This window comes from Homo sapiens, chromosome 9 (assembly GCF_000001405.40).
Source record: "Homo sapiens chromosome 9, GRCh38.p14 Primary Assembly".
Classification (NCBI taxonomy): Eukaryota; Metazoa; Chordata; class Mammalia; order Primates; family Hominidae; genus Homo; species Homo sapiens.
Genome location: NC_000009.12, coordinates 69,085,633 through 69,111,473, shown reverse-complemented (window position 1 = coordinate 69,111,473; position 25,841 = coordinate 69,085,633). Strand labels below are relative to the sequence as shown.

Below are 25,841 nucleotides of genomic sequence, written 5' to 3'. Positions count from 1 at the left end.
GGACTACAGGCACCCGCCACCATGCCCAGCTAATTTTTTTGTATTTGTAGTAGAGACGGGGTTTCACCGTGTTAGCCAGGATGGTCTCGATCTCCTGACCTTGTGATCCGCCCGTCTCAGCTTCCCAAAGTGCTGAGATTACAGGCGTGAGCCACCGCGCCCGGCCAGAACCATCGTTTTCTTTGTAATGGGGGTGATGTGGAGCCCCAAAAGGAGCCCTGTTGGCTTTGCCACCTGCTGCCTGTGTGATGTGAGTTATGCATTTAACTTCTCCGAGTCTCACTTCAGTCTCCTCACCCTTTGACTCAGCACTCCATTCTTAAGCATCTATCTCAAAAAACAATACTTACACAAGTATTGAAAAAGATAGGCTAGGCGGGTGGATCACCTGAGGTCAGGAGTTTGCTACCAGCCTGACCAACATGATGAAACCCCATCTCTACTAAAATAATAATAATAATAATAAAATTAGCCAGGCATGGTGGCAGGTGCCTGTAATCCCACCTACTCGGGAGGCTGAGGCAGGAGAATCGCTTGAACTCCGGAGGTGGAGGTTGCAGTGAGCTGAGATCATGCCATTGCACTCCAGCCTGGGCAACAAGAGTGAAACTCTGTCTCAAAAAAAAAAAAAAAAGAAGGAAAGAAGTTCAAAAATGCTTATTCCTGTGTATCTGAAATAGCAAAAATTAAAATTACATTTTTAGCCACCAAAAGAATGGCAGGATAAACAATGTTACGCTATATGATGTGTTAAATGTTTTTCTGTATGGACTATTCAGATGTTTGCTTTGGTTCCAAAATGAGTATCCAATTAGTTAAAGTTACAAGTCTAAAACCCTTTCTCTAGGTTTTAACTTAACATGTTTGCTTGATTATTCCATTTTATAAAAGTAGCATTTTTTCACTTACATTTTATTATACAATATTTGATATATATAAAATAAGTAACATCTCTGTAAGCTTAGGAGTATATAATAAAATGAATACATGAACCCACCAAACAATTTATGCATAAAGCATTGCCATTGCTTTTAAAGCTACCATGTGCCTTCCAAATCCTAAACCCATCTTCTCCATCCATTTCGAGGTAATCACCATCCTAAATTATGCATTCATTTAAAAAAAAAAAACAGTTTTAACAAACATGTATGTCTTCCTAAACAATATGTTGTTTGGATTAGCTTGGTTTTGAGCTTCTTTATAAAAATGGAATCACACTCTATGTAGTCTTCTGCAACCAGCTCTTTTCACTGCAAATTATATTTCCAAGATTTATTCTGGTTGTTGGATATAGCTGTATTTCTTTTTTATTTATTTATTTATTTATTTATTGAGATAAAGTGTTACTCTGTTGCCCAAGCTGGAGTGCAGTGGCACAATCTCAGCTCACTGCAGCCTCCAACTCCCAGGTTCAAGTGATTCTCCTGCCTCAGCCTCCCAAGTAGCTGGGACTACAGGCATGGGCCACCATGCCCAGCTAATTTTTGTATTTTTAATAGAGACGGGGTTTCACTATGTTGGCCAGGCTGGTCTTGAACTCCTGACCTTGTGATCTGCCCGCCTCAGCCTCCCAAAGTGCTAGGATTACAGGTGTAAGCCACCATGCCTGACACGGAAAATTTATTTTTATTTATTTATTTATTTTATTTTTATGTATTTATAAATAAATATATAAATTTTCCTTTGGATAAAAAGATGCCCACCTCCTAGGTGGATGATTACCTTCAATTTTATTTTATTTTATTTTGATTTTATTTTTGAGATGGAATCTCACTCACTCTGTCATCCAGGCTAAGTGCAGTGATGCCATCCTGGCTCACTGCAACCCCTGCCTCCCGTGTTCAGGCAATTCTCCTGCCTCAGCCTCACGAGTAGCTGGGATTGCAGATATGCACCACCACACCCAGCTAATTTTTGTATTTTTAGTAGAGACAGGATTTCACCATGTTGACCAAGCTGGTCCCGAACTCCTGACCTCAGGTGATCCACCCACCTAAGTCTCCCAAAGTGCTGGGATTACAGGCGTGGGCCACCACTCTTGGCCAGACAACTACTTTGTTAGTGAACTTTAAAGAAAAGATTTCAGATGACGGCAAGATTAGATTTTGTATACCATAGGAGTGAGTCTTCTTTTCACTCACTAAGCAAATATATGTATCATTCCAGTAATTTGTGGATTTTGCATTCTAAGTATGTTTGAAGTTGCACAGCTACCAGCAAGTACATCTGGCTGGAACTCACCAAACCCTGTTTGTACTTAAATCGCTTCATAATTTCAAAAAGGGGTAACCATATAGCCCACCTCCCAGGATTACTAATTTGGTTTCTACCCATAGAAATTTGTACCTTCCACCCAGGTCGATTAAGTGGATTTTACATTCCTTTGGCTCTTATGATTTGATAATGTCTTTCCTTCCTCTCTCCCTCCCTCTCTCTCTCTCTCTTTCTTTCTTTCTTTCAGACGAGAGTTGTGCTCTTGTTGCCCAGGCTCGAGTGCAATGGTGCAATCGCAGCTAACTGCAACTTCCGCCTCCTGGGTTCAAGCGATTCTCCCGCTTTAGCCTCCCGAATAGCTGGGATTACAGGCATGCGCCACCACACCCAGCTAATTTTGTATTTTGAGTACAGACGGGGGATTTTCCATGTTAGTCAGGCTGGTCTTGAACTCCGGACTTCAGGTGATCCGCCCATCTCGGCCTCCCAAAGTGCTGGGATTACAGACATGAGCCACCGCGCCTTTTCTTTCTAATTCTTAAGACTTTGAGACTTGATGAGTTCTGCTTCTTTTCATATACTTCTCATGTTAAAACCACAAAACCCTATCAGATATTAATGGCAGTCAATGAATGTGGTAACAACCTAGTGGAAAGTATATGGGCATTTATTAGTCTTTCCACTATTTGGTATGTTTGAAATTTTTTCCTTTTTTTTTTTCCCTTTTTTTTGTTTGGAGACAGAGTTTTGCTCTTGTTGCCCAGGCTGGAGTGCAATGGTGCGACCTCTGCTCACTGCAACCTCCGCCTCCTGGGTTCAGACAATTCTCCTGCCTCAACCTCCCGAGTAGCTGGAATTACAGGCATGTGCCACAATGGCGGCTAATTTTTTATTTTTAGTAGAGACAGGGTTTCTCCATGTTGGTAAGGCTGGTCTCGAACTCCCGACCTCAGGTGGTCCGCCCATCTCAGCCTCCCAAAGTGCTGGGATTACAGGCGTGAGCCACCGCGTCCGGCTGAAATTTTTTCTATATAAAAATTTGGGGATTCATCCCACCAGTGGCCAAGTCTACGGCATTGAATTCAACCCTCCCAAAACTGTGGGCATTGATGATCTAACTGGGGAGCCTCTCATTCAGCGTGAGGATGATAAACCAGAGACGGTTATCAAGAGACTAAAGGCTCATGAAACCCAAACAAAGCCAGTCCTGGAATATTACCAGAAAAAAGGGGTGTTGGAAACATTCTCTGGAACAGAAACCAACAAGATTTGGCCCTATGAATATGCTTTCCTACAAACTAAAGTTCCACAAACAAGCCAGAAATCTTCAGTTACTTCATGAGGAGAAATGTATGTAACTATTAATAGTACGATGGGCAAATCTCCTAGTCCTTGCATTTAGAAGCTGGTTTTTCTAAGACTTCCAGTATGTATGAATTCTTTGAAAATTATATTACTTTTATTTCTACTGATTTTATTCTGGATACTAAGGATGTCTCGAATGAGTCAGATACTAAGATTCATCCTTAGCAATCATCTAGTGTGTTTTATGCAGTTATCCTTAAAAACATCAGCGATGTCTGAACTTTTAAAACATCTGTTAGAGCAAAATTAAAAGAGCATTTGGTAGTACTCTAACTTTTTGTTCAGTTAAGAAGTGGTTGATAAAGTTTCCATATTTTTCTGGAAAAGTTAAAAAAAAGTTACATGTCATTTGGGGAAAATGTCAGAAATTTTTGCATAGATTGATGCCAAAAAAGACTTTTCTAGCATTGTGGAACATGGTGAGACACCATATAAATTCCAGAAAAAAAGCTACTGGAGTTACAGATTTGTTGTAAGGTACAAATTCACTGCTGCCTTTACACTAAGAAATGTATATGCTAACCATATATGCTGTATTTATTTTGTTGTTAAGCATACTTTCAGTTTACTCATAATTTTCAATTTACTATAAAAATGTATCAATTAGCATATAGAAAAATATTACTTTAAGATGACTTGTTTCCTTTGAAAATACATTATGTACTGAGGGTTATGATTTATGTCAGAAATTTACATTATAAGTCCTTGGATAAGCACCAAAGTTGAATGAATTTTCTTTTTTTTTTTTTTCTTTGAGATGGAGTCTTGGTCTGTCACCCAGGCTGGAGTGCAGTGGTGCAATCTCAGCTCACTGCAAGCTCCGCCTCCCAGGTTCACACCATTCTCCTGACTCAGCCTCCCGAGTAGCTGGGACTACAGGGGCCTGGCTAATTTTTTGTATTTTTAGTAGAGACGGGGTTTCACTGTATTAGCCAGGATGGTCTCGATCTCCTGACCTCATGATCCGCCTGCCTCGGCCTCCCAAAGTGCTGGGATTACAGGTGTGAGCCACTGTGCCCGGCTCATGAATTTTCAACAAAATGTAATTAAAGTCTATATGTTTTCAGATGTTAAAAAAAAAGGCCGAGTGCGGTGGCTCACGCCTGTAATCCCAGCACTTTGGGAGGCCGAGGCGGGCGGATCACGAGGTTAGGAGATCGAGACCATCCTGGCTAACAAGGTGAAACCCCGTCTCTACTAAAAACAAAATACAAAAATTAGACGGGCGGGGTGGCGGACGCCTGTAGTCCCAGCTACTCAGGAGGCTGAGGCAGGAGAACGGCATGAACCCGGGAGGTGGAGCTTGTAGTGAGCCGAGATTGCACCACTGCACTCCAGCCTGGGCAACAGAACGAGACTCTGTCTTAAAAAAAAAAAAAAAAAAAAAAAAAAAGACTTGGGGAGGGGGATTGAATTGAAATGAATTTTAGTTGTCTTTAGTGGCTTTTCCTGATTTGGGGGTCACAACTTTTTAGTGTATTTCTGCCAGCCAACTCTAAAGAATGCTCTCCATTAGTTAAAAATGGTAAGCTAGTCCATATGGGCCAATATGCAAAGTTCTTCAAGACACATGGTTAAGGAAAAAGGCAATTTGCAAAACAATACATATAGTTTGACCTGTTTATTTAGTAAATACACATATATGCTAATAAGTAGGAAAAAGGCTGGAAAGAGGAGTAGCATCTTGGTTAACAGTGGTTAACTGGAAAGGTGAGAGACGTTATTTAGGGGAGTAAGGGAACAGTGGTGAAGACGAACCTGTACTTTATTTATTTATTTATTTGTTTGTTGAGATGGAGTTTCACTCTTGTTGCCCAGGCTGGAGTGCAATGGTGCAATCTTGGTTCACCACAACCACTGCCTCCCAGGTTCAAGCAATTCTCCTGTCTCAGCCTCCCGAGTAGCTGGGATTACAGACATGCACCACCATGCCTGGCTAATTTTGTATTTTTAGTAGAGACGGGGTTTCTCTATATTGGTTAGGCTGGTCTTGAACTCCCCACCTCAGGTGATCCGCCTGCCTCAGCCCCCCAAAGTGCTGGGATTATAGGTGTGAGCCACCGCGCCTGGCTATTTATTTATTTTTAATGGAGACAGGGTCTTGCTATGTTGGCCAGGGTGGTCTCCAACTCCTGGGCTTAAGTGATCCATCCACCTCTGCCTCCCAAAGTGCTGGGATTACAGACCTGAGCCACCACACCCAGCCCACACCTGTACTTTTTAATAATGTACTCTTTTGAATTTAATTAAAAGCCAAATACAGTAAAATAAACATAATGGGGTGGACTAGAAGATCTGCCAGTTACCACTGGCTGACACTTGCAGGGATCCTAATGGGATGGAGAAAGTCTTGAAGGGGACCCAGTGAGAGGTTGCTTTTAGGGTGTTCTGGTACTTCCTGAAGACTAAATAGGGGCAGCTGTACCTGTCAGAAACAGGCTGGCCAAGGTCACAAGGGTCACATGACTGCTGAGTGCTCTTTTGGCACTCCTTACCCCTCCCCAGCCACACCTGCCTGGCCTGAGGGCAGGGCTGCTCCTGAGCCTGGAGAAAACCTGGGTCCCTCCTCCCAGGAAGCTCCACCTTCTCTCTGAGCAGTGGCACAAATAGGTAAACACCCGACCTGTGACTACCAGTCAGGTGTTGAGAAGAAAGGAAAGAGGAATAGCCAACGACAGTCCCTCCTCCATGCTCAGCAATCACTGGGTGAAAGATTACTTTGGTCCTCTTTAACACACTTTACAGTCCACTCTACTTTGACATGATGTTGTAAGTCATTCAATTTACAAATCTCCATGGAGTTTAGAGTCAGTGGTTACCTCTAGATTCATGGCTAGAATGGCTTTAAAAGACATTTTTAACAAGCTTTTTTTTTCTCTTTTAAAGCCATCTTTAAAAAGTTTTTCTAAGAAAATATCAGTTCAAGTAAGTGGCATACTGTTTGCTTTATGGCATTTGGACTTTAGCAAACAACTCATAAATAAATATTTTGTGTTAGCCATTTGTTAACAGTCCAAAGATCACTGTAGTTTTATTTAAGCCTCTGGCAAATACAACTAATTTTAAATTCACATAGAAAAGCATAGTTTCTCTGAAGTTGGGATTACCTATGAATTTCCAGTGAGAAAGCCACAGCTATACAGATATAGATATAGATAGACATACACATAGATATATTCATTGGATGCCTTCATAGAAAATGAAGGTAATATTACTGATAGTGCGTAATGTAAAAACTTACTCATTGTGATGTTCAAAGAGTTGTGAACAATAATATAGTTCTGTAATAATACAACTGGTATTTATACGTATAGGTTAATAATTGAAATTAGAGATACAGCTGAATTGCAACTTTGCTTATTATCCATAGGGTAATAGTAGAGATAATAGGGACATGACCAAAATAATGGGCTCACATTTTAATGAGTATTTATTTGGCAGAGTATCCCTGTGATGTAAACTGTGGTTATATAAGTAGGCTAATTGATTAAAAATTCTTTCATTTGGCCAGGCACGGTGGCTCACGCCTGTAATCCCAGCACTTTGGGAGGCCGAGGCGGGCAGATCATGAGGTCAGGAGATTAAGACCGTCCTGGCTAACATGGTGAAACCCGGTCTCTACGCTAAAATACAAAAACTTAGCCGGGCATGGTGGCGGCACCTATAGTTCCAGCTACTCGGGAGGCTGAGGCAGGAGAATGGCGTGAACCTGGGAGGTGGAGCCGAGATCGCGCCACTGCACTCCAGCCTGTGCGACAGAGCGAGATTCTGTCAACAGCTCATTGAGAACAGGCCATGATGACAATGGCGGTTTTGTAGAATAGAAAGGGGGGAACGGTGGGGAAAAGATTGAGAAATCGGATGGTTGCCGTGTCTGTGTAGAAAGAGGTAGACATGGGAGACTTTTCATTTTGTTCTGTACTAAGAAAAATTCTTCTGCCTTGGGATCCTGTTGATCTGTGACCTTACCCCCAACCCTGTGCTCTCTGAAACATGTGCTGTGTCCACTCAGGGTTGAACGGATTAAGGGTGGTGCAAGATGTGCTTTGTTAAACAGATGCTTGAAGGCAGCATGCTCGTTAAGAGTCATCACCACTCCCTAATCTCAAGTACCCAGGGACACAAACACTGCGGAAGGCTGCAGGGTCCTCTGCCTAGGAAAACCAGAGACCTTTGTTCACTTGTTTATCTGCTGACCTTCCCTCCACTATTGTCCTATGACCCTGCCAAATCCCCCTCTGCGAGAAACACCCAAGAATGATCAATAAAAAAAAAAAAAAATTCTTTCACTTAAATCAATAACAACAATTGAAAAACACAACAAAAAAACCAGGGCAGGTGAAGGTGTGGTAAAGCTGGTACATGGCTATTGCCCATTGTAAACTGTCCCAGCTTTTTTTGTTTGTTTTTAAGACGAAGTTTTGCTCTTGTTGCCCAGGCTGGAGTGCAGTGGTGCGATCTCAGCTCACCACAACCTCTGCCTCCCAGGTTCAAGCAATTCTCCTGCCTCAGCCTCCTGAGTTGAGATTACATGCATGAGCCACCGCACCTGGCTGTCCCAGCTTTTTTAAAAAGCATTTTAATTTAAAATGCATTAAGACTTGCAAAACTGTCCAAATCATTTGATCCTGTAATTTCACCCTATCTTAAGACAATAGTCAAGGCTGGGCGTTGGTGGCTCATGCCTGTAATTCTAGCACTTTGGGAGGCCGAGGCAGGAGGACCACCTGAGGTCAGGAGTTCGAGACCAGCCTGGCCAACATGGTGAAACCCCTTCTCTACTAAAAATACAAAAATAGCTGGGCATGGTCGTGGGCACCTGTAATTCTAGCTACTCAGGAGGCTGAGGCAGGAGAATAGCTTGAACCCGGGAGGTGGAGGTTGCAGTGAGCCGAGATTGCGCCACTGCATTGCAGCCTGAGTGACAGCACAAGACTCTATCTTTAAAAAAAAAAAAAAAGACAATAGTCCAAATGCAGAGAAAACTATATGCACAAATCTTTTCATCAACACATTATTCATAAAAGCAAAAAAATGGCAACTGAAATATCCAACAATTAGGAAAAAATGAAGTAAATTAATGCAGTCACTAAAAAATTGTATATGCGTATATATATGTTAATCAGGAAGAGCATGTAACAACATTTATTCAATCAGCAAATATTTATTGAGCCAGCTTTACTATACCATGCTAAGTAAAATGGTGAAAAAGGTGGAGAAGATTTGGTCCTCATGGAACTTGTAGATAACACTTATGATATAATATTCAGTTGAAATTACAGAATACAAAATTCACCCAGTATGATTACCACGATGCAAAAATGAAATGCACAGGCAAAGGACAGGAGCAAAATAAGCCCTAGTGCAAACTGTATTTGTATTCATTCAGGGTAGTGACAGTACTAATGACTATTCTTCCTTTTACCATTTTAGAACTTATGGTAGATGTTTTTATTAAATATTAAAGTGATATAAAATGTGTAGAGACATCAAGAAATAATACTGTTACATTAAAAAACAGAATATAAGTAGAATAGCTGCATAGTATACCTGCAACTCTCCATTCAGATGAACAGGGATTGAAATCAATCGTGCAAGTATTATGAAAAGTAGTAGCATCTGAGCTAATTTATTTTCCTTTAACAAATGCATGTTAATGTTGTTAGTTCAAGGTCTTGTAATAATGTGTAATAAATATGTGTAATAAATAAATAAACTTTTATTTATTTGTTTATATGAGACAGGGTCTCTCTCTGTCACCCAGGCTAGACTGAAGTGGTGAAATCACCGCTCACCACAGCCTCGACCTCTGGGCTCAAGCAGTTCTCTCACTTTAGTCTTCCCAGTAGCTGGGACTACAGACGTGCGCCACCACGCCCAGCGAATTTTTGTATTTTTAGTAGAGATGGGGTTTCTCCATGTTGGCCAGGCTGGTCTTGAACTCCTGACCTCAAGTGATCCACCCACCTCAGCCTCCCAAAGTGCTGGGATTGATTACAGGCTGAGACACTGCACCTGTCCCCCACATGTACTTTTTTTTTTTTTTTTTTTTGAGACCTAGTTTGCTCTGTCACCCAGGCTGGAGTGCAGTGGCTCACTGCACCCTCCACCTCCCAGATTCAAGCGATTCTCCTGCCTCAGCCTCCCAAGTAGCTGGGACTACAGGCGTGTGCCACTAGGCCTGGATAATTTTTTGTTTTTTTGGAGAGACGGGGTTTCACTGTGTTAGCCAGGATGGTCTCGATCTCCTGACCTCGTGATCTGCCTGTCTTGGCCTCCCAAAGTGCTGTGATTACAGGCATAAGCCACAGCCCCCAGCCTTCCTATGCGTACTTTTAAAACAAATTTAGGCCGGCCGCAGTGGTTCACGCCTGTAATCCCAGCACTTTGGGAGGCCAAGGTGGGTGGATCACAAGGTCAGGAGATCGAGACCATCCAGACTAACACGGTGAAACCCCGTCTCTACTAAAAATATAAAAAAGTAGCTGGGCGTGGTGGCGGGCGCCTGTAGTCCCAGCTACTCGGGAAGCTGAGGCAGGAGAATGTTATGAACCTGGGAGGCGGAGCTTGCAGTGAGCCGAGATCGCACCACTGCACTCCAGCCTGGGCGACAGAATGAGACTCCATCTCAAAAACAACAACAACAACAACAACAACAACAACAACAACAACAACAACAAACCTTGTCCACTTTTCAAGGCCCATGTCTAAATTCACTCAGATTATTGAAGTCTCTCCTGACCTCACTCACTAGACATGGTCCCCAATGTATCCTCTGATTCTCTCTACCATACCCATGGTTTGCTTCTTTGCTAGCCTGTTGTGTATTATGCCTATGCAGTATACCTCTGGGGCTTGTCTTCCTCTTCTTCCCCAGGAGTCGTCTTTGTTATACACACTCATACATCCCCCCATACACATACTCCAGCTCCTAAAATCCTTGTAGATAGAGCTTATATCTGGTACCCTGACACATAGTATGTGTTCAATAAAAAATATGTGTTGAATTGTCTCCTCACCAATATATGATTTCTTTTCCTTTCTTTTTTCTTTCTTTCTTTCTTTTTTTTTTTTTTTTTTTTTTTGAGACAGGGTCTCATCACTCTATCACCCAGGCTGGAGTGCAGTGGTACAATCATGGCTCACTGCAGCCTCTACCTCCTGGGCCGAGGTGATCCTCCCACCTCAGCCTCCCAGGTAGCTAGGGCTGCAGGCAAGCTGACCACTCCCAGCTAATTTTTTATATTTTTTGTAGAGACAGGGTTTCACCGTGTTGCCCAGGCTGGTCTTAAACTTCTTGGCTCAAGTGATCTGCCTGCCCTGGCCTCCCAAAGTGCTGGGATTATAGGCATGAGACACTATGCCCGGCCAAGATATAATTATTTATATTAATAATAAGTCAAAAATAAAATAATGATTTTTCTTTTTTTTTAATTTTTTTTTGACAGAGTCTCACTCTGTTGCCCAGGCTAGAGTGCAATGGTGCACTCTTAGCTCACTGCAACCTCCATCTCCCAGGTTCAGGCAATTCTCTTGCCTCAGCCTCCAGAGTAGCTGGGACTACAAGTATGCACCACCACACCCAGCTAATTTTTGTATTTTTAGTAGAGACGGGATTTTACCATGTTGGCCAGGCTGGTCTTGAACTCCTGACCTCAGATGATCTGCCCGCCTTGGCCTCCCAAGGTGTTGGGATTACAGGCGTGAGCCACTGCGCCCAGCCTAAACATTAATTTATTGACTTGATATGACTAAATGTTCCCATCAAGAATGTTCTACAGATTCCTTCACTGATACATATCCACAGTAAGGAAAAAACAAACAGCCACTTACCCAGCCATCCTATGAACCACACTGTCTGGGTTGCTTCGTTGCTCACTTGCTGATTGGAATCCCAGGAGACAGAAACAGAGGTAGTCCAGCACATGGCCTGTTTGGAGAGCATGGTCCTCACTTTTCCTCAGGGATGGAACAGCCACAGGAGCCACGTTAACCTTCCAGGAGAAGGAGTATGTCTTGAGCATGGGTTTGGCATATTAAGGAGCCATGCCTGCAAATAAATTCCATCTCGAACTGAAGAGGCACTAACCGAGGAGCTGAGTTAATTATTCTTGCCTGTGGTTCCCAAGGCTACAACCTCCTTAGGATGCTGGGTAACAAGATCCTTTTCAACTCACTTGGGAGATATTAGTTGTCTGTTGCCTGCACCTGACCCCTGGATATGATTCATAGGGTTTCTGTCTGCTGCGGAGCCGGAGAAAGCAGCCAGCAAAGATATATTAGCTCCTATGTGGTGTTTTCACGCCCCACTGATGTGCCATAAAAACTCCCAGCTAAGGACCTCCTATTACGAATGCACCCGCTGTGTGTGAAGGAGGTGACTGATGTTAAACTCACATGCCAGAGAGAACTGGCCTATGAGGAAACAGGAAGAAAGTACTCTCTCTCACACACTTTTTTTTTTTTGAGACAGAGTCTCGCTGTGTTGCCCAGCTGGAGTGCAGAGGCACGATCTCGGCTCACTGCAACCTCTACCTCCCAAGTTCAAGTGATTCTCATGCCTCAGCCTACCGAGTAGCTGGGATGACAGGTGTCTGTCACCACGCCCAGCTAATTTTTGTATTTTCAGTAGAGACGGGGTTTTGCCATGTTGGCCAGGCTGGTCTCGAACTCCCAACCTCAAGTGCACTGCCCACCTCAGCCTCCCAATGTGCTGGGATTACAGGTGTGAGTTACTGCATGCAGCCAGAAGAAAGTATTCTCCATATCACTGCATTCACCTACTGGAGACTTCTTTCCTCAGGAAGCCAAGACCCAGAAGCAAAATGACTGGAAATCAAAGATGGACATTAAGAGCACATTCATCTTCTTCATCAGCTGCTGACAACTATTACTCAGGTGTGTAACATGTAGGCAAAACGTCTCTGCTATACCGGGGGCATGTCAGCAATTCGGTCCTGCCCAGATCTGGATTCTTTTTTTTTTTTTTTTTTTTTTTTTGAGACAGAGTCTCACTCTGTTGCCCAGGCTGGAGTGCAGCAGCACGATCTCAGCTCACTGCAGTTTCCTCCTGGGTTCAAGCGATTCTCCTGCCTCAGCCTCCCCAGTAGCTGGGATTACAAGTGCCTGCCACCATGCCCGGCTAATTTCAGATCCGGATTCTTGATTTCTAGAATCGCAGCTACTCATGAGACTGGTTGATGCAATTGCTTGCTTTTAGGAATTACGGAGAGGAGGGTTACATGGGTCCACAACCCCATAATATAATCTAAAATTTCACAGTTTTGTCTCTGAAACCAAAAGTTCGATGCCCAAACTAATTCGGCAGCAAAATCTGACCTGAAGTAATGTAAGTCTATTTATGATTCTCATTTGTTTTAGTAAAAATAGTCATACATTTCACTGGGATATATTCATGTGTTTGTTTATAGGATGTGACTCCAAGTCTTTCTTGGAGGTATCATGTCATAATATACAATATATGCAACGTATTTCGGAAAAAATTCTAAATTCCATAACACATAGCCCAAGAGTTTCAGATAAAGAGCTGTGGAACTGTAAACTTAAACCTCAGGGAGATCAACAGTTACCAGTGAACTATCCCACATGTCAAATTGCAGTTGTAGCACCTTAGAGTCTCTGCATTTCCTGCGCAAACATACATGACAATATATCTAATCCTAGTCCTGATTGGATACTGTATCAGCCTTGTAGAAAATTTTGCAAAATCATTATATACACTTCAACATTCTAACACTGTGAATTTGCACTCAACTGTGTTTACAGTGGCTGCCCTTCCTTAACAGGCCAAAAAACTCCATTTCCTCTTACTGCTTTTCATATCAATAAAAAAACAAGCATCCACCTAAGGCAAACATACTCAAATTTCTCTGTAAGTTTTCAGGGGAAGAAAATTAGGAGAGTCACTAAAAGGACAACAATATGGTCAATTTCTTTTGTATATCACCTAATTTCCTTTAGGTGGCTGTGGCAGGGTAGGGCTTGATTTTGTGACTCTAGTATGGTATCACCACAGCAAGTTAATCTTTCAAATATCCAGGTAAGTCAGAGATCATGATTTGGGTCTTTAACTGAACAGGAATTAGGTGCAAGATGTCGAATTCAGCCAGGCATGGTGGCTCACGCCTGTAATCCCAGCACTTTGGGAGGCTGAGGCGGGTGGATTGCCTGAGGTCAAGAGTTCGAGACCAGCCTGGCCAACATGGTGACACCCCGTCTCTACTGAAAATACAAAAAATTAGCTGGGCGTGGTGGCGGGCACCTGTAATCCCAGCTACTCGGGAGGCTGAGGCAGGAGAATCGCTTGAATCTGGGAGGCGGAGGTTGCAGTAAGCCGAGATCCTGCCATTGCACTCCAGCCTGGGTGACAGAGCAAGACTCTGTCTCAAAAAAAAAAAAAAAAAAAAAAAAAGATGTTGAATTCAGAACACCTGAAGGTTTTATGGATGGCAAAATTATTAGATTGGATGAATGGATTATGGCCTAGAGGTATTTCTGTTGACCGAATAGAGGAAATACAGGAATTTATCTTTTGCCCTCTGTACCCAATGTGCTCAATGATTTATGAGTAACTGCATTCGTCACAGGCAAAACATGTACCAACAGGCTAAAGGACATTCCAAAGGAAACTCATGACTCCTTATTCATATCTAATGGAAGAAGGAAACTTGGTAGGGTTCACAGTCTTGTACGTTTGTGTTCACAATCACCACATGCTGTTTGATGTAGGATCCCAGGACAGATACAAAAATCCTCTCCATGCTTAAAGCACAGTTCTTGTGCAGAGCACTGAATTGTCTGTCTCGTGGATCTGCATTGGCTTCTCTGCTACATGAATTACTTCTGGGAGGAACATGACTTCCCATCTGTTCTCCTTTACATTCTGAAGACGGGGTTTCAGCTACACAAACTGTATTGTATCATCTTTCTCCTGCACTATTGTGATAGTCTTAACTATTTCCAGGACCAGGAATGGAACATACTTCCCCTAAACTATGCAAAAGGATTCTTTTCTCACTTCATTCAAGCTTCTGCTCAGATGCTACTGTGTCACAGAGGCCTTCAACTACTCTATTAAAAAGAGCTCCACTCAAAAAAATTCTGGAGATGGATGGTGGTGATGGCTGCATAACAATGCAAATGTACTTAAGGCTACTGAATTGTATTATTATTATTATTATTATTTATTTATTTATTTATTTTTGAGACAGAGTCTTGCTCTCTTGTCCAGGCAGGAGTGCAGTGGTGCGATCTCAGCTCACTGCAACCTCTGCCTCCCAGGTTCCAGCTATTCTCCTGCCTCAGCCTCCCGGGTAGCTGGGACTACAGGCATGTGCCACCAAGCCTGGCTAATTTTTGTATTTTTTAGTAGAGATGGGGTTTCATCATATTGGCCAGACTGGCCTCAAACTCCTGACCTCATGATCCGCCTGCCTCAGCCTCCCAAAATGCTGGGATTATAGGTGTGAGCCACCATGCCCGGCCTTGAATTGTATTCTTAAAAATGGTTAAGAGGGTAAATTTTATGTTATGTACATTTTAAGACAATAAAAAGCAAAGAAAGAGAGAGAAAGGAAGAAAGAGAAAAGAAGAAAGGAAGGAAAGAAAGAAGGAAGGAAAGAAGGAAGGAGGGAGGGAAGGAAGGAAGGAAGGAAAAGAAGATACATTCTACTCAGCATGATCCATCTCACCTGCTTCATTTTTCTATTAGCACTTACTGATACTATAGATGTATGTGTCTACTATCTGCATTCCCCCAGTGAAAAGTGAGCTCCAGGAGAGCAAGTGCTTTATTTACTTTATTCAATCCTATATTTGTGACTCCCAGAACAGTGCCTGAGCATTGTAGAACTACTAAATGTTTTCTAAATGAGAGCAAGCAAGCAAGCAAAGTCCCAAACTAGTATTCCCATCTTTAGTTTTTCTCCCTTGGTCTAATCCAATTCATCTTAGACACTGACCACAGGGTTATCTGGGTTATATTTTTAAAACATAGATCCAGCCAGGTATAGCAGCTCTTCCTGTAATTCCTTTAATTCTGTGAGGCTGAGATGGGAGGATCGCTTAAGAGAGATATTACTCCTAATATCACCGTGGGTGTATACCCTGTGATATTATTTGTAATATCTAAGGGAGGTATTACTCCTAATATCACAGTAGATGTACACCCTGTGATATTATTTGTAGTATCTAAAGGCAGTATTACTTGTAATATCATAGGGAGGTATTACTCCTAACATCACAGTGGGTGTACACTCTGTGATATTATTTGTCATATCTAAGAGAGATATTATGCCTGTAGTCTTAGCTACTCTGGAGGCTGAGGCAGAAGAATCACTTGAACCCAGGAGGTGGAAGTTGCAGTGAGCCGAGGTCGTGCCACTGCACTCCAGCCTGGGAGACAGAGCAAGACTCTATCTCAAAAAAAAAAAAAAAAAAAAAAAAAAAAGAGGATGTAGGCCTGGTGCAGTGCCTCATGCCTGTAATCCTAGCACTTTGGGATACTGAGGCAGAAGGATTGCTTGAGCCCAGGCATTTGAGACTAGCCTGGGCAACACAGCAAGACTTCATCTCTACATTTTTTTTTTTCTTTTTTAAGGTTATGTCTTGCTCTGTCACCCAGGCTGGAGTGCATGGCGTGATCTCGGTTCACTGCGATCTCCGCCCCTCGGGTTCCAGGGATTTTCCGGCCTCAGCCTTGTGAGTAGCTGGTATGATAGGTACCCACCACCACATCCGGCTAATTTTTGTATTTTTTTTAGTAGAGATGGGATTTTACCATGTTGGCCAGGCTGGTCTCAAACTCTTGACCTCAAGTGATCCGCCCGCCTCAGCCTACCAAAGTGTTGGGATTACAGGGATTACAAGGTGTGAGCCACTGGGCCCAGCCCCTATAAAAAATTTGAAAAATTAGCTAGGCATGGTGATATGTACCTGTAATCTTACCTATCTGGGAGGCTGAGATAGGAGGACTGCTCGAGCCCAGGAGTTCAAAGTTACAGTGAGCTGTGTGATTGCACCACTGCACTCCAGCCTGAGTGACAGAATGAGACCCTGTCTCAAAAAAAAAAAAAAGATATGTTGAAGTACTAAACCCTAATACCTCAGAATGTGACCTCATTTAGAAATAAGGTTGTTGCAGATGTTTTAGTTAAATTAAGACAATGAGATCATACTGGAATAAGGTAGGCCTCTAATCCAATACGACTGATTTCCTTACAAGAAGTCAGTGAAGACAAAGGCACCAAAAGAAGAATGCCATGGGCCGAGTGCAGTGGCTCACGCTTGTAATCCCAGCACTTTAGAAGGCCAAGGCAGGGAGATGACCTGAGGTCGGGAGCCCGAGACCAGCCTGGCCAGCATGGTGAAACCCCGCCTCTACTAAAAATGCAAAAATTAGCTGGGTGTGGTGGCGCACACCTGTAATCTCAGCTACTCGGGAGCCAGAGGCAAGAGAATCGCTTGAACCTGGGAGGCAGAGGTTGCAGTGAGCCGAGATCACGCCACTGCACTCCAGCCTGGGTAACAGAGCGAAACTCTGTCTCGAAAAGAAAAAAAGAAAGAAAAATAAAGAAGAATGCCACAGGATGATGGAGGTAGAGACTGGAGTTACACAGATGCAAGTCAAGGATCGCCAAAGATTACCTGTGAAACCAGAAGCTGAGGAAAAGACATACAACGGATTATCTAGAGCCATCAAAAGAGCAGAGTCCTGCTCATACCTTAATTTTCTATTTCTGCCCTCCAGAACTGTGAGATAATAGATTTCTGTGTTTAAGACCCCCGTTTGTGGAACTTTGTTACAGCAGCTCCAGGAAACTAATACAGGGTTGGTGGTAAATTTGAGAGCTAATATGAACAACAGCCGGGCCCTGCTAACCATCCTCTACTGGGCCAAGGACTCCCTGACAGTGGGGTGCTGGAGGCCGCTGCTCCTGGCATAGGCTGGTACCATGTGCACATCTCTGCCCAACTTCTCGTCCAGTTCTGTCATATCGGGAGCTTGCAACCAGCCATTAGGGTGACCAATCAAGCTATTTCCTGGGGAATGAGGAATTTTCTGGGATTCAGGACTTTCAGGCCTAAAAATGGGAAAGCCCCTGGCAAACCAGAACAAGTTGGTCACCCTACCAGCTGTGGGAAGACTATTTATACCATGGAAACTGACAAATCCTACATACAAATCAGGGTTTTTCCCCTTTGGAGAATTGGTTAAATATTGACCAGTACACCACTCTGCCAGTAAGCTCTTGCAGTTTCAATTAGTCAAAGCCAAAAAAAAAAAAGCAAGCTTTTGCTAGATAAGTACTATAGTTACAACCCGAGCATTATGAATAACATTTTGTTTTGTTTTGCTTTTGAGACGGAGTCTGACTCTGTCACCCAGGCTGGAGTGCAGTGGCACAATCTCGGCTCACTGCAACCTTCGCCTCCTGGGTTCAAGTGATTCCCCTGCCTCAGCCTCCTGAGTAGCTGGGATTACAGGTGTGTGCTACCACACCTGGCTAATTTTTAGTAGAGATGGGGTTTTACCATGTTGGCCAGGCTGCTCTCGAACTCCTAGCCTCAAGTGATCCACCTGCATTGGCCTCCAAAAGTGCTGGGATTACAGGTGTGAGCCACCAGGCCTGGCCCATGAATCACATTTATAAAAAATGTTTAAATATAAAGCTAAAAAAAGGCCTCTCCCTAAACTTTACCTTCTCTTCCAGGTCAACGGTATTTATTTATTTAGAGCTACCAATATCAAAGCTCTTCTCAACTGGAAACATACAATTATAAAATCTTAGAATTCAACACAAGTTTGGAAATGTTAAAAATGGCCATTTTAAGGCCCCAACATCCTTTTTCCTAATAACTACATAACAGAAATACAGATGCTTCACACCCTTCTTTGGACTTACACACCTAGATCTAAGCCTTACAAACAATTGTACTTGTCACAATAATTTATGGAGAATCTGCAGTGACTTATTGAACGTTGGCACAGTGCTTAGCCCACCATATCTATGGCATAAATAAAATAACTTCTAGGTTGCTCCCTAGCAGCAATAACACCACTTTTCTCTTCCATTAGAGAAACTGTAGAGGAATTTGAGAGACTGAGTGAATCTTCACTAGATCCAGCAGCAGCGCAGAGGCCTCCCTCTCTCAACCAGGCACAGGCATGAAGATGTTCTTGTCAGAGGCGTGTGAACCAGAGCAACTTTATCTTAAATAGGAGCTGGGTAAAATAAGGCTGAAACCTACTGGGCTGCATTCCCAGACAGTTAAGGCATTCTAAGTCACAGGATGAGACAGGAGGTGGGCATAGAATATGGGTCATAAAGACCTTGCTGATAAAACAACAAGCCGGTGTTGGAGCCGGCCAAAACCTACCAACACTAAGATGGCCACGAGAGTGACCTCTGGTCATCCTCACTACTACGCCCCCACCAGCGCCATGACAGTTTACAAATGCCATGGCAACGTCAGGAAGTTACCCTATATGGTCTAAAAAGGGAGGCATGAATAATCCACCCCTTGTTTAGCATATCATCAAGGAATAACCATAAAAATGGGCAACAGCAGCCCTCGGGGCTGCTCTGTCTATGGAGTAGCCATTCTTTTATTTCTCTACTTTCTTAATAAACTTGCTTTCACTTTACTGTATGGACTCGCCCTGAATTCTTTCTTGTGCGAGATCCAAGAACCCTCTCTTAGGGTGTGGATCGGGACCCCTTTCCGGTAACACTCCGACAGCACCCTCCCTCCCTAACTCTCTAACTCACTCATCACTCTCCCAGTTCATCCTACTCACTGCCTGTAGCCAGATGATCTGCTTAAAATGTTCAGCTACTAGGTGGAATGATCTCCAACCTATATGGTACAGTAAAACAACAACAACAAAACCCAAGCAGTTTGTACTATGTACTGCCTTTTTTTTTTTTTTTTTTTTTTTGAGATGGAGTTTTGCTCTTGTTGCCTAGGCTGGAGTGCAATGGCTCCACCTCAGCTCACTGTAACCTCCGTCTGGGTTTAAGTGATTCTCCCGCCTCAGCCTCCTGATAGCTGGGATGAGGCGCCCACCACCACACCTGGCTAATTTTTTTTTTTTTTTTGTATTTTTAGTAGAAATGGGGTTTCACCATGTTGGCCAGGCTGGTCTCGAACTCGTGGCCTCAGATGATCCACCCGCCTCGGCCTCCCAAAGTGCTGGGATTACAGGTGTGAGCCACCACGCCTGGCCTATGTACTGCCTTTTATAATTTAAAAAGCAGTCTTATGTATGTTTATACAAAGGCAGCCTCTATAAGCATATAGTACACACTATGACCATAACTCTTTCCACAATGCATTTTATTGATATACTTTTCTATTTCTTTTCTATCTCTGTATTTCACTAGACCATGAATTCCTTGAGGGGAGGGAATGTGTTTGTTAACCATTGTATCCTAGCACGTGGCCTGGTTCAAAATAGGCAATCAGTAACGGTTGAATATATGAATTATTAAATAATGGCAAAAATACAGTCCTTCACAGTTTCCTTGTCCCAGTTAAATTTACTAAGCCAATTCTTTAATATAAACACAGGTCCATCAAGGGTGTGTGCCACTTCCTACCATTTTAAGTATTTTTTTTAATCAGGAAGAGCCAGAGGCAAAAGTCATGAAATTAACCACATGCGAGCATGCACACGCACAAACACACACACACATACACAGATAGGCGCAAACATCTAATTAGGAAAACCAAAACAAAACCAATTTACAAGCCTTGGCTCATCATCTCAATAGCTACTTGCACTAATCCTATAATTTATGTCTACTAAACACTGTTATTTTCCTTCTCTGGGCATTAGGCAACTTGGGAAAGGATTCCAGAAAAAATTCAACACTACTGACACTCATGATTATTAATATTATTAATACTGTTTATTTTTTTAATGGCCAGTCTTCTAAATGCTTGTATCCAACCTTAGAGAAGAATGTATTTTATAGGATTGCAGCCAAATGCAGCCCTGAACGCTATCTACTGGGAGTCTTCAGCCTTCCCAGTACTAACCTGACTTCCCAAAGCCCCTGGAGATCTCCCTTCTTTCCAAGGGGAGCCTTGGGATTCCTTCTTTTTTCACATCTCCTTGTCACTGAGACACCCCTGGAGCAGGACAAGGGAAGTGTCCACCTATTCTACCTTCCTCCTTTCTCAGGCCAAGTGTCATTTTCGGAGGGCGGGGGCAGGGAGTGGGGGGAAGGAGAGGAGGGGAGGGGTACGGGAAAGGGATGTAGTGGAGGGAGAGTTAATGCCTGGTTCTGCCTTCCTCCCTCCCCCAACCCAGCGGATTTCCTTCCCAGGGCAGTAGCCAGTGGCTCCAGGAAATAATTACCCTTATCAGCCCCCACTCTGAACAGTAAGAAAGGAAAGGTCTCAATTCTTCCCTGAAAAGGAAGGGAATCTCAGTCTACTTTTTGGTTTTTCAAATAACCTGTCTTAGCACCTCTAGGGCTCATCCTAACATCCCCAGGGCTCTTGATTTCTCTCCTGATGCAGTTCTTGGATCTTAGTTTACATAAGAATGCCCCAGTGGAGTCAAGGATGCAGCTTTTTCTTCTGCCCTGGAGTTTATCAGGGCTTTGTATGGTTAAATGACACTCTTTGGGGGTCTGATGAGTTTCTACCTTTTTGTACCACTTACACTTTTTACCTTGGGCATGGAGTGGTCCTGACAAATCTTTCTGAAACTCTGGTGAAAAATTCTAAGTGAGAGAAGGGGAGCCAGAACAGAAGCTGGGGTTTTCCTCCTGAGTGGTGAGGGGGCAGTGAACCACAAAGATGAAGACTGGATCTGGTGTGAAGGGATGGGGGCTGAGCTCCATTTACGTTCCAATGAGCATCTAGAAAGGTGTTTGTTTTACTGGGATGTTTTTATGGCACCCTGCAATATTTTAATTTTTCCCTTATTCATTCTTTTCTAAAATCCTTGGAAGATCCCACTAGGGCTGTTCTTGCCTTTAGAACTGTGAGACTAGTGAAGCAGAGAAGCTTCTCTAGGAGCAAATAGCAGGGTAGAACACCCCCACCTCCACCCTGACCCATCCAGACGCTGCTAACACAGAGCGGGAGGCCGGGTTGAACGTCCCCCTCCCTATTCCTCCTTTCAGGGTCGGGCACACACCTGGCTGGGATAAAGGAGTCAGGTCATTTGAAAGGCTCATCTCTCTATTACCAGGGGAGGGCGTCCAGGTTCCTGGCGTCTTGAACAAAGAATTAGATAAAATGCACAAAGCACAAAGAAAGCAAGGAAGGAATGAAGGGATTTATTGAAAATGAAAGTACACTCCACAGTGTGGGAGCGGGCCCGAGCATAGGGGCTCAAAGGCCCTGTTACAGAATTTTTGGGAGTTTAAATACCCTCTAGACGATTCCATTGGTTACTTAGGATACGTCCTATGTAAATGAAGAGGATGAAGTAAAGTTACAGGCATACGCCCTATGGAGAGGATATTTCCTGTCATAGCTGAAGTGTGAATCGGCTTATGTTTTCTGCCTCCAGACCCTATTTTCCTGCCTCATCTCTTTCTTTCTTCCATTCCCTGTGCCACACAGAAGGGTTCCTTTGGATTTCCAGGGACTGTCAGAGGTGTCCTAACCAGAGTGACTCCATCTTGAATAAAGGCCGAATAAAGCCAAACCTGCTGGGTTACATTCCCCAGGAACTGGGCACTCTTGGTCATGAGATGTTTATGATTGAGGGAATGAGTTAATGTTGCTAACTAAAGACTCAGAACTTATGGAAATGTCCCAGTATTTTAAGAACAAAAAGCATTCTTAAGGAATAGGTTTTGCCTTAAATATAATAGTGTACTCATAAATTCTTGCTGAAATCAATAGTAACAGGAAAATAACAGTACCAATAGCCTGTCACAAGCTGATCACAAGCCTTTGTAATAAAGTACACAATTCTTATACAACCTACATAAGCAAGCACTACATTTAAGGTAGCGCCTTCCTCCTCTTGTTTTCTGAGGATGCCCTACTCTGTAATTGAGTAGCCTCTAATTAACTATCTTAACTTCATTATACTCTGCGACTTACCCTGAATTCTTTCCCAGGCAAGATCCAAGAACACTCTTGGGGTCTGGAACAAGACCCCCTTTCTGGCGTCAGGACTGGGCACCAGATCTGGAAGAAGCAGGACTCAGGCCGGGTGCGTTGGCTCATGCCTGTAATCCCAACACTTTGGGAGGCCAAGGCGGGCGGATCACCTGAGGTCAGGAGTTCAAGACCAGCCCAGCCAACATGGCGAAACCCCGTCTCTACTAAAAATATAAAAATTAGTCGCCGGCCGGGCGCGGTGGCTCACGCCTGTAATCCCAGCACTTTGGGAGGCCGAGGCGGGTGGATCATGAGGTCAGGAGATCGAGACCATCCTGGCTAACAAGGTGAAACCCCGTCTCTACTAAAAATACAAAAAATTAGCCAGGCGCGGTGGCGGGTGCCTGTAGTCCCAGCTACTCGGGAGGCTGAGGCAGGAGAATGGCGTGAACCCGGGAAGCGGAGCTTGCAGTGAGCCGAGATTGTGCCACTGCAGTCCGCAGTCCGGCCTGGGCGACAGAGTGAGACTCCGTCTCAAAAAAAAAAAAAAAAAAAAAAATTAGTCGCCGGGTGCGGTGGCTCATGCCTGTAATCCCAGCACTTTGGAAGGCCGAGGCGGCCGGATCACGAGGTCAGGAGATAGAGACCATCCTGGCTAACATTGTGAAACCCCGTCTCTACTAAAAATACAAAAAAATTAGCCAGTCATGATGGTGGGTACCTGTAGTCCCAGCTACCCAGGAGCCTGAGGCAGGAGAATCACTGGAACCCAGAAGGCAGAGGCTGAAGTGAGCCGAGATCGTGCCACTGCAATCCAGCCTGGGCAACAGAACAAGACTCTGAGAAGAAGAAGGAGAAGGAGAAGGAGAAGAAGAAGAAGAAGGACTCTGCAGGTGGCACACAAAATTAGATGAAAAGAATAAGGGGACCTTAAAGGGGGAAGAAAAAAATGGGAAGTCCAAATGGAGAAAGATTCCTTAGATAATAGCTAGGTGATGTTATGAGGGGTCCTTGAGGGTCTAGAACAGGTCTCTCCTGCCAAGGGGAGAAGCAGGATGGATTGCGGAGAGCTAGTAGGCCAGGAGAGTGCAGTGGTTCTCTTTAAAGAAAAATCTCAGGACCCTTTATATTCTTGAGTTATAGAGGACTCCATAGAGCTTTTGTTTGTGTGTTATATCTATCCTTTTAATCATATTTAAAATTAAAACTGAGAAATTTTGAAAATGTTCATCTGTTCATTAATTTAGAAATAATAGCTGGGTGTGGTGACTCATGCCTGTGGTCCCAGCACTTTGGAAGGCTGAGGCAAGAGGATCACTTGAGCTCAGGAGTTCGAGATCAACCTGGGCAATGTAGCAAAACCCTATCTCTACAAAAAATACAAAAAAAAAAAAAATTAGCCAGGCATGGTTGCATGCACTTGTACTCCCAACTACTCAGGAGGCTGAGATGGAGGATCGCTTGAGCCTGGGAGTGCGAGACTACAGTGAGCCGTGATCATGCCACTGTATTCCAGCCTGGGGGACAGAGTGGGACCTTGTCTCAAAAAAGAAAAGAAAAAAGACATAACAATCATAAACTCACTTGTTTATATGGTTAAAAGAAAACCTTAGACAAATTAAATTTAACCGAGTTTAATTGAACAGTTTGAGAATTGGGCAGCCTCCTCAGCCAGAGTAGGTTCAGAGACTCCAGCACAGCCACGTGGTGGAAGAACATTTATGGACAGAGACAGAAAAGTGGCGTACAGAAAACAGAAGTGAGGTATAGAAACAGCCAGATTGTTTACAGCTCAATATTTGCCTTATTTGAAAGCAGTGTCAAGAGTTGACCTCCTTTGATTGGCCAAAATCCAATGTTTGTCACAAGAGTAGTTCACAGTCTTGTTTACACATCTGGGTAGGCTACAATTCACTAAGTACAGAGAAACCTTTAGGTCAAGCTTAAACTATATAAGGAGGCAGCTTTAGGCTAAATTTGATTTAACAATATTAATGACATATTTATGATAAATAACTATACTTTTGAAACAAAACATATTTGGTGTGAAGAATGGGATCATTGCAGGACTTTTCCTTAGTTCAGCTAAAGAGAAGGTTCTTGTCTATCCCACAGCCACAAAAATTTAGGCTTGCAGATGGTTTAAAGGGTGAGTAAAGCAGGGTTTTATTAAGTGAAAAGGGGAAATAAAGGGATGAGGGGAACAGGGATCCTCTGCAAGGCCAGAGTCTCCTGCTACAGTGCTTCCCACCAGGCTGCTAGAATCCCAGGTTCACATAGGAAGAGGAGGCGCCAGGCTCCTCCCTGCTGCAAACTCCCAAGGCTCCACCCTAGTAGGCAGGCTGGTTGGAGTTTCTCCAGGGACCCCCTCCCACCTGGCTGTCAAATAATTATTTTAGAGTTTTATAAAACTCTGAGAAATAAAAATGAAATCCTAAGTCCCCCAGCTGACTAAACGGATGCACCACCTCTTGGCCAAGGGGACCCCAGAGAAACCTTGAAAACTGAGTTCTTGCCATGATGTGTTGTTATACCCTCTCCATTGCTAAACGCCATTAGGATTTCCTTCCTACAGGTTAAACAGAAACCAGCCCTTTGGAAAGACGAGCTGCACCGCTGATATCAACCAATGGTCTGACACTGCCCCTTCCTTTTGCAGTTTCTGCACAACTAACCAGCATTCCTTCCTGATAACAGACTGCCCACAATGGAGTGGTTCTGGCCAGTTTACAGAGGATGTGCAGTGAGGGTTTCTGTGTCCTCTGTTTCACCTTTTGATATCAGAGGACAGAAAACTCCACCCTCTGATCATGCTAATGCTGCCATTTTTTGCACACGCGTCCCATGGAGAGGCATGAAGCTCAATTGAGCATGTGCATGTTTCTCCTTTCATGAATATTCATGACTGTAGTTTATTGAATATGTATATTTGGCCATCCTATTCAGCATAAATGCCCATCTTATTCTTCTGACCCTCAGTGTCTGTTTTTGGCTTCTGGCCAGAGACTACATTTCTTAGCCTGTCAGAATGGCCACCCTGCAGGCTGCAATCTTTTATGAGAAATGAAGCTTTTCTTTCCAAATTTATGAATCTCAGAATTCTTCAGCTGACAATTGTAATGTTTGGCTTAATAGAAAACAGCTGGATTCTTCTACTTGCCTCTTCA

General features: G+C 43.5%; 2 annotated features.

Moving 5' to 3' along the window:
* Positions 20,260-21,229: an enhancer, noted in NCBI's record as "OCT4-NANOG-H3K27ac-H3K4me1 hESC enhancer chr9:71705161-71706130 (GRCh37/hg19 assembly coordinates)". NCBI's record gives its function as "activates a minimal SCP1, AML or CMV promoter by ChIP-STARR-seq in naive H9 embryonic stem cells {active_cell/tissue: H9 hESC(naive)}" and the evidence as "EXISTENCE:reporter gene assay evidence [ECO:0000049][PMID:30033119]".
* Positions 22,507-23,007: an enhancer, noted in NCBI's record as "H3K4me1 hESC enhancer chr9:71703383-71703883 (GRCh37/hg19 assembly coordinates)". NCBI's record gives its function as "activates a minimal SCP1, AML or CMV promoter by ChIP-STARR-seq in primed H9 embryonic stem cells {active_cell/tissue: H9 hESC(primed)}" and the evidence as "EXISTENCE:reporter gene assay evidence [ECO:0000049][PMID:30033119]".